Raw genomic sequence first — 16,869 nt, forward strand, 5'->3', positions numbered from 1 at the left:
AACAAAGTTTTGACTGGAAGCTATCACAGGTCAGGTGTGGAATTTTCCACTTGTGGTGTCATGTCAGCGCCCAAAATTTTTTTTTTTTTTTTTTTTTATTATACTCTAAGTTTTAGGGTACATGTGCACATTGTGCAGGTTAGTTACATATGTATACATGTGCCATGCTGGTGCGCTGCACCCACTAATGTGTCATCTAGCATTAGGTATATCTCCCAATGCTATCCCTCCCCCCTCCCCCGACCCCACCACAGTCCCCAGAGTGTGATATTCCCCTTCCTGTGTCCATGTGATCTCATTGTTCAATTCCCACCTATGAGTGAGAATATGCGGTGTTTGGTTTTTTGTTCTTGCGATAGTTTACTGAGAATGATGATTTCCAATTTCATCCATGTCCCTACAAAGGATATGAACTCATCATTTTTTATGGCTGCATAGTATTCCATGGTGTATATGTGCCACATTTTCTTAATCCAGTCTATCATTGTTGGACATTTGGGTTGGTTCCAAGTCTTTGCTATTGTGAATAGTGCCGCAATAAACATACGTGTGCATGTGTCTTTATAGCAGCATGATTTATAGTCCTTTGGGTATATACCCAGTAATGGGATGGCTGGGTCAAATGGTATTTGTAGTTCTAGATCCCTGAGGAATCGCCACACTGACTTCCACAATGGTTGAACTAGTTTACAGTCCCACCAACAGTGTAAAAGTGTTCCTATTTCTCCACATCCTCTCCAGCACCTGTTGTTTCCTGACTTTTTAATGATTGCCATTCTAACTGGTGTGAGATGATATCTCATAGTGGTTTTGATTTGCATTTCTCTGATGGCCAGTGATGATGAGCATTTCTTCATGTGTTTTTTGGCTGCATAAATGTCTTCTTTTGAGAAGTGTCTGTTCATGTCCTTCGCCTACTTTTTGATGGGGTTGTTTGTTTTTTTCTTGTAAATTTGTTTGAGTTCATTGTAGATTCTGGATATTAGCCCTTTGTCAGATGAGTAGGTTGCAAAAATTTTCTCCCATGTTGTAGGTTGCCTGTTCACTCTGATGGTAGTTTCTTTTGCTGTGCAGAAGCTCTTTAGTTTAATTAGATCCCATTTGTCAATTTTGGCTTTTGTTGCCATTGCTTTTGGTGTTTTGGACATGAAGTCCTTGCCCACGCCTATGTCCTGAATGGTAATGCCTAGGTTTTCTTCTAGGGTTTTTATGGTTTTAGGTCTAACGTTTAAATCTTTAATCCATCTTGAATTGATTTTTGTATAAGGTGTAAGGAGGGGATCCAGTTTCAGCTTTCTACATATGGCTAGCCAGTTTTCCCAGCACCATTTATTAAATAGGGAATCCTTTCCCCATTGCTTGTTTTTCTCAGGTTTGTCAAAGATCAGATAGTTGTAGATATGCGGCATTATTTCTGAGGGCTCTGTTCTGTTCCATTGATCTATATCTCTGTTTTGGTACCAGTACCATGCTGTTTTGGTTACTGTAGCCTTGTAGTATAGTTTGAAGTCAGGTAGTGTGATGCCTCCAGCTTTGTTCTTTTGGCTTAGGATTGACTTGGCGATGCGGGCTCTTTTTTGGTTCCATATGAACTTTAAAGTAGTTTTTTCCAATTCTGTGAAGAAAGTCATTGGTAGCTTGATGGGGATGGCATTGAATCTGTAAATTACCTTGGGCAGTATGGCCATTTTCACGATATTGATTCTTCCTACCCATGAGCATGGAATGTTCTTCCATTTGTTTGTGTCCTCTTTTATTTCCTTGAGCAGTGGTTTGTAGTTCTCCTTGAAGAGGTCCTTCACATCCTAAACATGGAAAGGAACAACCGGTACCAGCCGCTGCAAAATCATGCCAAAATGTAAAGACCATCGAGACTAGGAAGAAACTGCATCAACTAATGAGCAAAATCACCAGCTAACATCATAATGACAGGATCAAATTCACACATAACAATATTAACTTTAAATATAAATGGACTAAATTCTGACATTAAAAGACACAGACTGGCAAGTTGGATAAAGAGTCAAGACCCATCAGTGTGCTGTATTCAGGAAACCCATCTCACGTGCAGAGACACACATAGGCTCAAAATAAAAGGATGGAGGAAGATCTACCAAGCCAATGGAAAACAACAAAAGGCAGGGGTTGCAATCCTAGTCTCTGATAAAACAGACTTTAAACCAACAAAGATCAAAAGAGACAAAGAAGGCCATTACATAATGGTAAAGGGATCAATTCAACAAGAGGAGCTAACTATCCTAAATATTTATGCACCCAATACAGGAGCACCCAGATTCATAAAGCAAGTCCTCAGTGACCTACAAAGAGACTTAGACTCCCACACATTAATAATGGGAGACTTTAACACCCCACTGTCAACATTAGACAGATCAATGAGACAGAAAGGCAACAAGGATACCCAGGAATTGAACTCAGCTCTGCACCAAGCAGACCTAATAGACATCTACAGAACTCTCCACCCCAAATCAACAGAATATACATTTTTTTCAGCACCACACCACACCTATTCCAAAATTGACCACATAGTTGGAAGTAAAGCTCTCCTCAGCAAATGTAAAAGAACAGAAATTATAACAAACTATCTCTCAGACCACAGTGCAATCAAACTAGAACTCAGGATTAAGAATCTCACTCAAAGCCGCTCAACTACATGGAAACTGAACAACCTGCTCCTGAATGACTGCTGGGTACATAACGAAATGAAGGCAGAAATAAAGATGTTCTTTGAAACCAACGAGAACAAAGACACCACATACCAGAATCTCTGGGACGCATTCAAAGCAGTGTGTAGAGGGAAATTTATAGCACTAAATGCCTACAAGAGAAAGCAGGAAAGATCCAAAATTGACACCCTAACATCACAATTAAAAGAACTAGAAAAGCAAGAGCAAACACATTCAAAAGCTAGCAGAAGGCAAGAAATAACTAAAATCAGAGCAGAACTGAAGGAAATAGAGACACAAAAAACCCTTCAAAAAATCAATGAATCCAGGAGCTGGTTTTTTGAAAGGATCAACAAAATTGATAGACTGCTAGCAAGACTAATAAAGAAAAAAAGAGAGAAGAATCAAATAGACACAATAAAAAATGATAAAGGGGATATCACCACCGATCCCACAGAAATACAAACTACCATCAGAGAATACTACAAACACCTCTACACAAATAAACTAGAAAATCTAGAAGAAATGGATACATTCCTCGACACATACACTCTCCCAAGACTAAACCAGGAAGAAGTTGAATCTCTGAATAGACCAATAACAGGCTCTGAAATTGTGGCAATAATCAATAGTTTACCAACCAAAAAGAGTCCAGGACCAGATGGATTCACAGCCAAATTCTACCAGAGGTACAAGGAGGAACTGGTACCATTCCTTCTGAAACTATTCCAATCAATAGAAAAAGAGGGAATCCTCCATAACTCATTTTATGAGGCCAGCATCATTCTGATACCAAAGCCGGGCAGAGACACAACCAAAAAAGAGAATTTTAGACCAATATCCTTGATGAACATTGATGCAAAAATCCTCAATAAAATACTGGCAAACCGAATCCAGCAGCACATCAAAAAGCTTATCCACCATGATCAAGTGGGCTTCATCCCTGGGATGCAAGGCTGGTTCAATATACGCAAATCAATAAATGTAATCCAGCATATAAACAGAGCCAAAGACAAAAACCACATGATTATCTCAATAGATGCAGAAAAAGCCTTTGACAAAATTCAACAACCCTTCATGCTAAAAACTCTCAATAAATTAGGTATTGATGGGACGTATTTCAAAATAATAAGAGCTATCTATGACAAACCCACAGCCAATATCATACTGAATGGGCAAAAACTGGAAGCATTCCCTTTGAAAACTGGCACAAGACAGGGATGCCCTCTCTCACCGCTCCTATTCAACATAGTGTTGGAAGTTCTGGCCAGGGCAATCAGGCAGGAGAAGGAAATAAAGGGTATTCAATTAGGAAAAGAGGAAGTCAAATTGTCCCTGTTTGCAGACGACATGATTGTTTATCTAGAAAACCCCATCGTCTCAGCCCAAAATCTCCTTAAGCTGATAAGCAACTTCAGCAAAGTCTCAGGATACAAAATCAATGTACAAAAATCACAAGCATTCTTATACACCAACAACAGACAAACAGAGAGCCAAATCATGGGTGAACTCCCATTCACAATTGCTTCAAAGAGAATAAAATACCTAGTAATCCAACTTACAAGGGATGTGAAGGACCTCTCCAAAATTTTTTAATTTTGGAGTATTTCAGAGTTTGGATTATTGCTTTAGGGATGCTTAACCTGTGCCACATTCTTTATCCATTCATTTGTTGACAGACACTTAAGTAGTTTCTATATCTTGGCTATGGTGAATGATGCTACAATTTACAAAGCAGAGCAGTTATCTCTTTAAAATCGTGATTTAATTTTTTATATATACCCAGAAATGGAAGTGTTAGATCACATAGTAGTTCTATTTTTAATTTTTTGAGGAGCCTCTATACTGTTTTCTATATCATCTGTACCAATTTGTATTCCCATCAAGAGTGTACAAGGGTTCCTCTTTATCCACATTTTCATCAATACTTATCTTTTGACTTTTCGATAATAACCATCTTAACAGGTGTGAGGCGATGTCTCATTGTGGTTTTGATTTGCATTTCTCTGATGATTAGTGATGTTGAGCATCCTTTCATATACCTGGTGGCAATTTTTATGTCTTCTTTGGAAAAATGTCTGTTCAAGTTCTTTGTTCATTTTTTAATTGGAATATTATTTTTGTTATTGAGTTATATCAGTTCCTCATATATTTTGGATATCAAATCCTTATCAGATATATGGCTTGCAAATATTTTCTCCAATTCCATAGGTTGCCTTTTCTTTCTGTTGAATTATTTTTTTTGCTGTATGGAAACTTTTTAGTTTCACATAGTCTCACTTACGTATTTTTGCTTTAGTTGCCTGTGCTTTTGGTGTCATACCCAAAAATTCATTGCCCAGCCTGATGTCAAGGAGATTTTCCCCTGTGTTTTATTCTAAGAGTTTTAAACTTTCAATTCTCACATTTAAAAATCTTTAATCCATCTTGAGTTGATTTTTTCTATGTTGCAAGGTTAGAGTCCAATTTCATTCTTTTGCATGTGGATGCCCAGTTTTCCCAGCACCATTTATTGAAGAGACTATTTTTTTCTCCATTGTGTATTATTGGTACCTTTGTTAAAGATTAGTTAGCTGTATATTTATGGCTTAATTTTGTTGCTTTCTATTCATTGGTCTGTGTGCTTGTTTTTATGCCAGTACTATATTGCTTTGATTATTACAGTTTTGTTATATAACTTAAAATCAGAAAGTGTGATAATTCTAGCTTTGTTTCTCTTATTCAAGGTTGCTTTAGCTATTCAGGGTCTCTTGTGTTTCCATACAAATTTCAGGATAGTTTATTTAGGTGAAAAATACTATGGGAATTTTGATAGGGATTGCATTGAATCTGTAGATTTCTTTGAGTAGTATAAAGTATGCATGTTCTAACCCAATGCAAAGAAGCTAAGAACAATGATAAAAGGTTACAGGAGCTGCTAACTAGAATAACCAGATTAGCGAGAGACATAAATGACCTTATGGAGCTGAAAAACACAGCACAGGAACTTTGTGATGCAAACACAAGTATCAACAGCTGAATCAATTAAGTGGAAGAAAGAATATCAGAACTGAAAGACTATCTTGCTGAAATAAGGTGGGCAGGCAAGATTAGAGGAAAAAGAATGAAAAGGAATGAACAAAACCTCTGAGAAATATGAGACTGTGTAAAAAGACCAAAGCTATGACTGATTGGAGTACCGAAAGAGATGGGGAGAATGGAAGCAAGTGGAAAACAACTTCAGGATATCATCCAGGAGAACTTCCCCAACCTAGAAAGACAGGCCAACATTCAAATTCAGGAAATACAGAGAGCCCCAGTAAGATACTCCATGAGAGGATCAACCCCAAGACACATAATCATCAGATTCAATGCTATTCCCATCAAACTACCATTGACATTCTTCATAGAGTTAGTAAAAACTACTTTAAAATTCATGCGGAACCAAAAAAGAACCCTTATAGCCAAGACAATCCTAAGCAAAAAGCACAAAACTGGAGGTATCACACTACATGACTTATACTGCAAGGCTACAGTAACCAAAACAGCATGGCACTGGTAGCAAAACAGACATTTAGACCAATGGAACAGAATAGAGATCTCAGAAATAAGACCACACATCTACATCCATCTGATTTTCAACAAACCTGACAAAAAAACAATGGGGAAATGATTCCCTGTTTAATAAATGGTGCTGGGAAAACTGGCTAGACATATGCAGAAAACTGAAACTGGACCTTTTCCTTACATCTTATACAAAATTTAAATGATAATGAATTAAAGACTTAAATGTGAAACTCAAAACCATAAAAACCCTAGAAGGTAATCTATGCAATAGCATTCAAGACATAGGCATGGGCAAAGATTTTATGATAAAATCCTCAAAAGCAATTGCAACAAAAGCCAAAATTGACAAATGGGATCTAATTAAATTAAAGAGCTTCTGCACAGCAAAAGAAACTATCATCAGAGCAAACAGGCAGCCTACAGAATGGGAGAAAATATTTGCAATCTACCCATCTGACAAAGGTCTAATATCCAGAATCTACAAGAAACTTAAAGAAATTTACAAGTAAAAACAACCCCATCAAAAAGCGGGGAAAAGACATGAACAGACACTTCTCAAAAGAAGACATTTATGTGGCCACAAACATATTTTAAAAAGCTCAACATCATTGATCATTAGAGAAATGCAAATCAAAACCACAATGAGATGCTACCTCACACCAGTCAGAGTGATGATTATTAAAAAGTCAAGAAACAACAGATGCTGACAAGGCTGTGGAGAAATAGGAGTGTTTTTACACTGTTGGTGGGAATGTAAATTACTTCAACCATTGTGGAAGAGAGTATGGCAATTCCTCAACGATCTAGAACAAGAAATACCATTTGGTCCAGCCATCCTATTACTGGGTATATACCCACAGGAATTTATATTATTCTATTATAAAGATACATGCACATGTATTTCATTACAGCACTAGTCACAATAGCAAAGACATGGAATCAACCCAAATGCCCATAAATGATAGACTGGATAAAGAAAATGTACACATACACCGTGGAATACTATGCAGCCATAAAAAGGAATGAGATCATGTCCTTTGCAGGGACATGGATGAAGCTGGAAGCCATCATCCTCAGCAAACTAACACAGGAACAGAAAACCAAACACTGCATGTTCTCACTCATAAGTAGGGGCGGAGCAATGAGAACACATAGACACAGGGAGGATAACAACACACACTGGGGCATGTCAGGGAGACAGGGGGAGGGAGAGCATCAGGATACATAGCTAATGCATGCAGGGCTTAATACCTAGGTGATGAGTTGATAGGTGCAGCAAATCATCACGACACATGTTTACCTATGTAACAAACCTGCACGTTCTGCACATGTATCCCAGAACATAAAATAAAATAAAAATGCCATTGGAATTTTGATAGCGGTTGCGTTGAATCTGTAGATATCTCTGAGTAGTATAGAGGATGCATATTTTAACAATTTTTTTTCATTCGTGAACGTGGGATGTCTTTCCATTTATTTGTGTCTTTGAATGCTTTCATCAATTTTTATAGTTTTTAGTGCACAATCTTTCACATCATTGGTTAAATTTAATTCTAAGTATTTTATTCTTTTTGATGCTCCTGTAAATGGAATGGTTTTCTCAATTTCTTTTTCAGATAATTCATTGTTAGTGTATAGAAATGTTACTGGCTTTATTATTGGTTTTGTGTCTTAAAACTTTACTGAATTTATAGTTCTAACAGTATTTTCATTAAGTCTTTTGGGTTTTTTATACATCAGATCATGTAATCTGCAAACAGAGACAATGTTATCTTCTTCCTTTTCAATTTGGATGTCTTTTATTTTTTTCTTTCCTGATTGTTTTGGTTAGGTCTTTCTGTGCTATGTTGAATACAAATGGCAAGAATGGACATCCTTAATTTGTTCTTCATATTAGAAAAAAAGCTTTCAGCTTTTCATTCTTGAGTATGATGTTTGCTGTTGGATTGTCATATCTGGCCTTTATTATGTTGAGGTGCTTTCTCTATTTAATATATTGATAGTCTTTATTATGAAAAGGGTGTTGAGTAGTGTGAAATGCTTTTTCTGCATTTATTGAAATGATCACATGATTTTTATGCTTAAATTTTTAATGTGGTATATCATATTTATTGATCTGCATTTCTCAAACCATCATTGCATTCTAGGAATAAATTCCGCTTCATAATGGTGTATAATCCTTTAAATCTGCTACTAAATTCAGCTTGCTAGTATCTTCTTGAGGACTTTTTATATTTATGTTCATTGGAGATATTGGCCTACCTGTTTTGTAGAATTATTGTCTCTTTTTCATTTCAACCTAAAGCTGGCCTCATAAAATAAGTTCGTATGTGTTATTTTTAAACGTTTGGAAGCCATTAAGAAGCATTGGTATTAATGCATCTTTAAATGTTTGGAAGAATTTACCAGCGAAGCCATCTGGTCCTGAGATTTTCATTATTTGGAGATTTTTGATTGCTGATTCAATCTCCTTATTCAATATTGATCTATTCAGATTTTTGTATTTCTTAGTGATTTAGTATGGTGATATTTATATTTGTCTAGTAATTTATTTCTACTAGGTTTTCCAGTATGTCGGTGTATATTATCTATATTTCTATGGAATCAATTATGATTTCCCCTGTTTTATTTCTTATTTCACTTATTTGAGTCTTCTTTTTTCTTAATCTAGCTAAAGGCTTGCCAATTTTGTTTATCTTTTCAATGAAACCAACTCTTAATTTCATTGATATTTTCTATTGTTTTTCTAGTCACTAATTAATTTATTTCTGTTCTTATCTTTATTCTCTTCATACTACTAACTTTGGACTCAGTTTGGTCTTTTTGTAGTTTCTCCAGTTACAAAGTTAAGTTTATTTGAGACATTTCTTTTCACATCAGCCTATATCATAATAAATGTCCCTTTAGAACTGTTTTTGCTGCATTCCATAGGTTTTGTATGTTGTATTTTCATTTTTGTTTTTCCCTTTTTTTTTTGAGACAGAGTTTCGCTCTGTCATTTGGGCTGGAGTGCAGTGGTGTCATCTCAGCTCACTGCAACCCATAACTCCCTGGTTCAAGTAATTTTCATGCCTCAGCCTCCTGGCTAGCTGGGACTACAGGTGTATGCCACCATGCCCAGCTAATTTTTGTATTTTTAGTAGAGACAGGTTTTCGCCATGTTGGTCAGTCTGGTCTCAAGATCCTGGCCTCAAGTGATCTGCCCGCCTTGGCCTCCCAAAATGCTAGGATTACATCAAAATATTTTTTTATTTCCATTTTGATTTCTTCCTTGACCCATTGGTTGTTCAGGAGTGTGTTGTTTAAATTCCACGTTTGTAAATTTTCAAGCTTTCATCTTGGTATTGATATCTAGTTTTACATCATTGTGGTTGGAATAAGGTATTTGATATAATTTCAATCATCTTAAGTTTGTTTTGACTTGTTTTGTGTCCTAACATATAATATGTCCTGGGTAATGTTCAATGTGTACTTGAGAAGAATGTGTACTCTGCTGCTGTTGCATGAAATGTTCTGTATATATCTCTTAGGTACATTTGTTCTAAAGGGTAGTGTAAGTCCAAAATAATTTCTGATTTTTTTATTGGAGTCTTTTCTTCATTAGTCTAGTTAGTGTTTTATCAATTTTATTTATCCTTTCAAAGAAAAAAACTTACCATTTTGTTGATTGTTTGTATTGTTTTGTTCATCTGTATTTCATTTAGTTCTTCTCTGATCATTCTTTTCTTTTCTTTTTTTTTTTTTTGCTAATTTTGAGTTTGGTTTGTTCTTGGTAAGTTGTGTTTTCATTTTTGGTTTGTTCTTGCTTTTCTAATTCCTTGAAGTGCATTATCAGATTGTCAATTTGTAACTTTCTACTTTTTTGATGTATTTATTTATTTATTTATTTTATTATTATTATACTTTAAGTTTTAGGGTACATGTGCACAATGTGCAGGTTAGTTACATATGTATTCATGTGCCATGCTGGTGTGCTGCACCCATTAACTCATCATTTAGCATTAGGTATATCTCCTAATGCTATCCCTCCCCCCTTCCCCCACCCCACAACAGTCCCCAGAGTTTGATGTTCCCCTTCCTGTGTTCATGTGTTCTCATTGTTCAATTCCCACCTATGAGTGAGAACTGCGGTGTTTGGTTTTTTGTCCTTGCGATAGTTTACTGAGAATGATGATTTCCAATTTCATCCATGTCCCTACAAAGGACATGAACTCATCATTTTTTATGGCTGCGTAGTATTCCATGGTGTATATGTGCCACATTTTCTTAATCCAGTCTATCATTGTTGGACATTTGGGTTGGTTCCAAGTCTTTGCTATTGTGAATAGTGCCACAATAAACATACGTGTGCATGTGTCTTTATAGCAGCATGATTTATAGTCCTTTGGGTATATACCCAGTAATGGGATGGCTGGGTCAAATGGTATTTGTAGTTCTAGATCCCTGAGGAATCGCCACACTGACTTCCACAAGCGTTGAACTAGTTTACAGTCCCACCAACAGTGTAAAAGTGTTCCTATTTCTCCACATCCTCTCTAGCACCTGTTGTTTCCTGATTTTTTAATGATTGCCATTCTAACTGGTGTGAGATGGTATCTCATTGTGGTTTTGATTTGCATTTCTCTGATGGCCAGTGATGGTGAGCATTTTTTCATGTGTTTTTTGGCTGCATAAATGTCTTCTTTTGAGAAGTGTCTGTTCATGTCCTTCGCCCACTTTCTGATGGGGTTGTTTGTTTTTTTCTTGTAAACTTCTCTATTAGCCTTGATATTGCTGTATTCCACAGATTTGGTATGTTATATTTCCATTTTTATTACTTTCAATAATTTTTTAAATTTCTAGCTTAATTTTTTATTGACCCAGTGGTCATTCAGGAACATGTTTTTTAATATCTGTGTTTTTGTATAGTTTCTGAATTTCCTCTTGGTATTGATTTCTAGTTTTATTCCATTGAAAAGAAACTTGAAATAATTTTTATTTTTAAAATATTTGTTGAGACTTGTTTTCTGGATTAACATGTTGTCTATCCTGGAATATGTTCCATGTGCTGGTGAAAAGAACGTATACACTGCAACATTGGTATTAAATGCAATGTTTCCTTACTAATTTTCTGTCTAGATGATCTGTCTCATGCTGAGAGTGGGGTGTGGAAGTCCCCCACTATTATTGTATTGGAACCTATCTCTCTCTTTATATTTAGTAGTATTTGCCTTATGAATCTGGGTGCTCCAGAGTTGGGTGCATATATATTTAAATTGTTTCATCCTCTTGCTAAATTGATCCATTTATTACTATATAATGATCCTCTTTGTCTTAGTTTTTTTACTATACTTGACTTAAAGTCTATTTCATCTGATATGAGTATACCTATTCCTGTTTTCCTGTGGTTTCCATTCGCATAGAATTTTTGTTATCTTTTTACTTTCAGTCTATGAATATATCTTTGCAGATAAAGTGCATTTCTTGTAGTCAGAGTATCATTGGATCATGTTTTCTTATCCATTCAACCAATATATATCTTTTAAGTGGAGAACTTAATCCATTCACATTCAGGGTTTATTATTGATGTGTTTGGTATATTATTGATATGGTTTGGATTTGTGTCTTGCCCAAATCTCATGTCAAATTGTAATAACTAATGTTGGAGGGAGGAGCCTGGAGGGAGGTGATTGGATCATGAGGGCAGATTTTCTTCTTGCTCTTCTCGTGATAGTGAGTGAGTTCTCTTGAGACCTGTGTCTTTTAAAGTATGTAGCAACTGCTGCTTTTCTTCCTTCCCTTCTGCTACAGCCATGTAGGATGTGCCGCTTCCCCTTTTCCATCCACCATGATTGTAAGTTTCCTGAGGCCTCCCTAGTCATGCTTCCTGTAGAGCCTGTTTAATTGTGAGCCAATTTTATAAATTACCCTATCCCAAATAGTTCTCTATAAGCAGTGCAAGAACAGCCTAAAACAGAAAGTTGGTACTGAGAGTGGGGTGTTCTTATAAAGATACCTGAAAAAGTGGAAGCAACTTTGGAACTGGGTAACAGGCAAAGCTAGGAAGAGTGTGAGGGGCTCGGAAGAAGACAGGAAGATGAAGGAGAGTTTGGAACTTCCTAGAGACTTGTTAAATTGTTGTGACCAAAATGCTGATACTGCTATGGACAATGAAGTCTAGGCTGAGGAGGTCTCAGATGGAGATGAGGAACTTATTGAGAACTGGAGTAAAGTCATTCTTGCTATGCTTTAGCAAAGAGACTGGAAGTATTGTGCACCTGCTCTAGAGATCTGTGGAAGTTTGAACCTGAGAGTAATGATTTAGAGTATCTGGACTTTCCCAGACAAATGAAAGCTGACGGATTTCATCAACATCAGATATGTCTTACAAGAAATGCTAAAAGGAGTATTTTAATTAGTATATAAAGGATGTTTATGAGCAATAAGTAATCATCTGAAGGTGCAAAAGTGACTTATAATAATAAGTACACAGAACAACACAGAATATTATAATGCTCTAACTGTGGTGTGTAAGTATCTTAAGTAGAAAGACTAAACTATAAACCAATAAAAAATAATAACTACAACAACTCTTCAATACATAGTATAATTAGATATAAATAGTCACAGGAAAATTTTTAAAATATGGGGGATGAAGTTAAGGCTTAAAAGTCTTTATTAGTCTTTTTTTTAGCTCGTTTGTCTTTGAAAACAATGCTAAGTTGTTATCAGCTTAAAATAATTGTTTGTAAGATACTACTTAAAGCCTCATGGTAATTTCAAATTAAAAAGCAGACAATGGTGACACAGAAAATAAATAGCAAGAAACTAAATCATATCACCAGAAAAAATCACCTTCACTAAAAGGAAGAAAGGAAGGAAAGAATATGGAAGAGAAAACAACAAAACAGCCAGAAAATGAATGATAAGATGGCAGGAGTAAATACTTACATATTAATAATAACATTGAATGTAAAAGGACTAAACTCTCCAAAAGACGTATGGTGGTAGAATTTTATTTTATTTTATTTTATTTTTGCGATCTCGGCTCACTGCAAGCTCTGCCTCCCGGGTTCACGCCATTCTCCTGCCTCAGCCTCCCGAGTGGCTAGGACTACAGGTGCCCACCACCATGCCCGGCTAATTTTTTGTATTTTTAGTAGAGACGGGGTTTCACTGTGTTAGCCAGGTTGGTCTCGAACTCCTGACGTCGTGATCCGCCCGCCTCAGCCTCCCAAAGTGCTCGGATTACAGGTGTGAGCCACCGCGCCGGGCCCCAGAATTTTTTTAAAAAAGAAGACCTATTAATTTATTGCCTACAAGATACTCACTTCACCTATAAAGACATACATAGACTGAAAATAAAGGGATCAAAATGGATCTTTCATCCCAATGGAAACCAAATAAAAAAAAGAGTTTCTATACTTTTATCAGACAAAATCGATTTCAAGACAAAAACTATAAGAGACAAAAAAGATTAACATAAAATCAGAAAAGGTCAATTCAGCAAGAAGATAAGACAATTTTAAATATATGTGTACCCAACACTGGAGCACCCAGACATATAGAGCAAATATTATTACAGCTAAAGAGAGAGATAGACTCCAATGTAACAAATAGCTGGAAACGTCAACACCCTACTTTCAGTGTTAGACAAATATTGTGAACAGTAAATTAAAAAGAAATACCACACTTAATTTGAACTGTAGACCAAGTGGACCTAATAGATATTTACAGAGTAGTTCATTTAAAAGTTGCTGCATAGACATTCTTTTTCTCAGAACATGGATTATTCTCGAGGATAGAACCTAGGTTTGGCCACAAAACAATTCTTAAAACATTCTAAAATATGGAAATAACATCAAGCATTTTCTGTGACCACAATGGAACAAAACAAGGAATCTATATCAAGAAGTTTAGAAACTGTACAAATACATGGAAATTAAACAATATATTCTTGAATGACCAGTGCTTCAATGAAGAAATAAAGAAGAAAATTGAAAAAATTTATTGAAACAAATTATAATGGAATCACAGCATACAAAAACCTGTTGTATTCAGCTGAAACAGTACACAGAGGGAAGCTTTTAGGTATAGAAACCTACATCAAAAAAGAATAACATAAAATAAACAACCTAAGAATGCATCTTAAAGAACAAGAAAAGGAAAAGCAAAGCAAACCCAAAATTATTAGCAGAAAAAGAAGTAAGATCAGAGCAGACATAAATGTAATAAAAAAAATACAAATAATCAATGAAACAAAAAGCTGTTTTTTTTTGAAAAGTTAAATCAACAAACCTTTAGCCACACTAAGGAAAAAAAAGACCTAAATAAATAAAATCAGAGATGAAAAATGAAACATTACAACAGATATTGCTGAAATTCAAAGCACAATTAGTGGCTAACTACAAGTAACTATGTGCCAATAAATTGGAAAATCTAGAAGAAATGGACAAATTTCTAAACACTTAAAAACTACCAAGGCTAAACTATGAAGAAATCCAAAACCCAAACAGACAAGTAATGAGATAAAAGCCATAATAAAGGTCTCCAATAAAGAAAAGCCCAGGAACCAATGGCTTCACTTCTGAATTGTACCGAACATTTAAAGAAGAACTATTACTAATTCTACTTAAAGTATTCTGAAAAATAGAGGAGGGAATCCTTCCAAACTCATTCTATGAGGCCAATATTACCCTGATACCAAAACCCGTTAAAGACAAAGAAAAGAAAGCTAGAGTACAATATCAATGATGAACACTGATTCAAAAATTTTCAGAAAACTATTCTCAAACCAAATTCAACAAGTGGTATTTATCCCTGGGATGCAAAGATGGTTTGGTGTACACAAATTAATCAATGTGATATATCCTATCAACAAAATGAAGGACAAATCTGCATGATCATTTCAATTGATTCTAAAAAGCATTTTATAAACTCAACATCCCTTTATGATAAAACCCTAAAAAACAGGGTATAGAAGGAACATACCTGAACATAATAAGAACAACGTATGACAGACCCACAGCTAATATCATTTTGAGTAGGGAAGAACTGAAAACCTTTTCTCTAACATCTGGAAAATGACAAGAATGCTCATTTTCACCACTGCTATTCAACATAACAGAAGTCCTATCTAGAGCAATAAAAGAAGAGAAATATATAGTAGGCATTCAAATTGGAAAGGAAGAAATCAAATTATCCTTGTTTGCAAATAATGTGATCTTATATGTGGAAAAACCTAAAGACCTCACCAAAAAATGATTGGAAGTGATAAACAAATTCTGTAAAGTTGCAGGACACAAAACGAACATACAAAACTTAGTAGTATTTCTATATGCTAACAATAAACAAACTGAAATGGAAATGAAAAAATGTAGTCCTACTTATAATGGCAACAAATACAATTAAATACCTAGGAATTGACTTCATTAAAGAAGTGAAATATCTCTGTAATGAAAACTATAAAACACTGATGAAAGTAAAGCGGATACCAAAAATTGGAAAGATATTTCATGTTCATGGATTGAAAGAATCAATATTGTTAAAATGTCCATATTACCCAAAGAAATCTACAGATTTAGCTCAATCCCTATTAAAATACCAATGTCATTCTTGACAGAAATAGAAAAGAACAGTCCTAAAATTAATATGGAACCGAGAATAGCCAAAGCTATTCTAAGCAAAAAGAACAAAACTGGAGGAATTACATTACCTGGCTTTAAATTATGCTACAGAGCTACAGTAACCAAAAGAGCATGGTACTGGATAAAACAGATACATAGACCAATGGAACAGAATAGAGAACCCAGAAAGAAACCTACACACCTACAGTAAACCCAGTTTTGACAAAGGTGTAAAGAACATTTATCGCAGAAAGGACAGTCTCTTCATTAAATGATGCTGAGAAAACTGGATATTCATATGCAGAAGAATGAAACTAGACCCCTGTCTCTCACCATGTACAAAAATCAAAATGAATTAAAGACTTAAATCTAAGGCCACAAACTATGAAACTACTACAAGAAAACATTATGGAAACTCTCCAGGACATTGGTCTAAACAATGATTTTTTGAGTACTATTCCACAAGCACAGGAAAGAAAAGCAAAAATGGACAAATGGGATTTTATCAAGTTAGAAAGCATCTGTACATCAAATGAAACAATCAGCAAAGAGAAGAGATAACCCACAGAATGAGATAAAACATTTGCAAACTACCCATCTGACAAGGGATTAATAACCAGAATATATAAGGAGCTCAAACAACTCTATAGAAATAAATCAGATAATTCAAATAATGGGCAAGAGATTTGAATAGACATTTCTCTGAGAAGACATACAAATGGCCAACAAGCATATGAAAAGGTGCTCCATATCATTGGTTATCAGAGAAATGCAAATCAGAACTACAATGAGGTATCATCTCACTCCAGTTAAAATGGCTTATAGCCAAAATACAGACAATAATGAGTGCTGACGAGATGTGGAGAAAAGAGAACTCTCATACACTGTTGGTGGTAATGTCAGGTAGTACAACCACTATGGAGAAAGGTTTGGAGGTTCCTCAAAAAACTAGGAATAGACCTACTATATGTCCAGCAATTCCACTGCTGGGTATGCACTCAAAGGAAAGGAACTCAATATATCTAAGAGATATC

Source organism: Homo sapiens, chromosome X, assembly GCF_000001405.40.
Source record: "Homo sapiens chromosome X, GRCh38.p14 Primary Assembly".
NCBI classification, from domain to species: domain Eukaryota; kingdom Metazoa; phylum Chordata; class Mammalia; order Primates; family Hominidae; genus Homo; species Homo sapiens.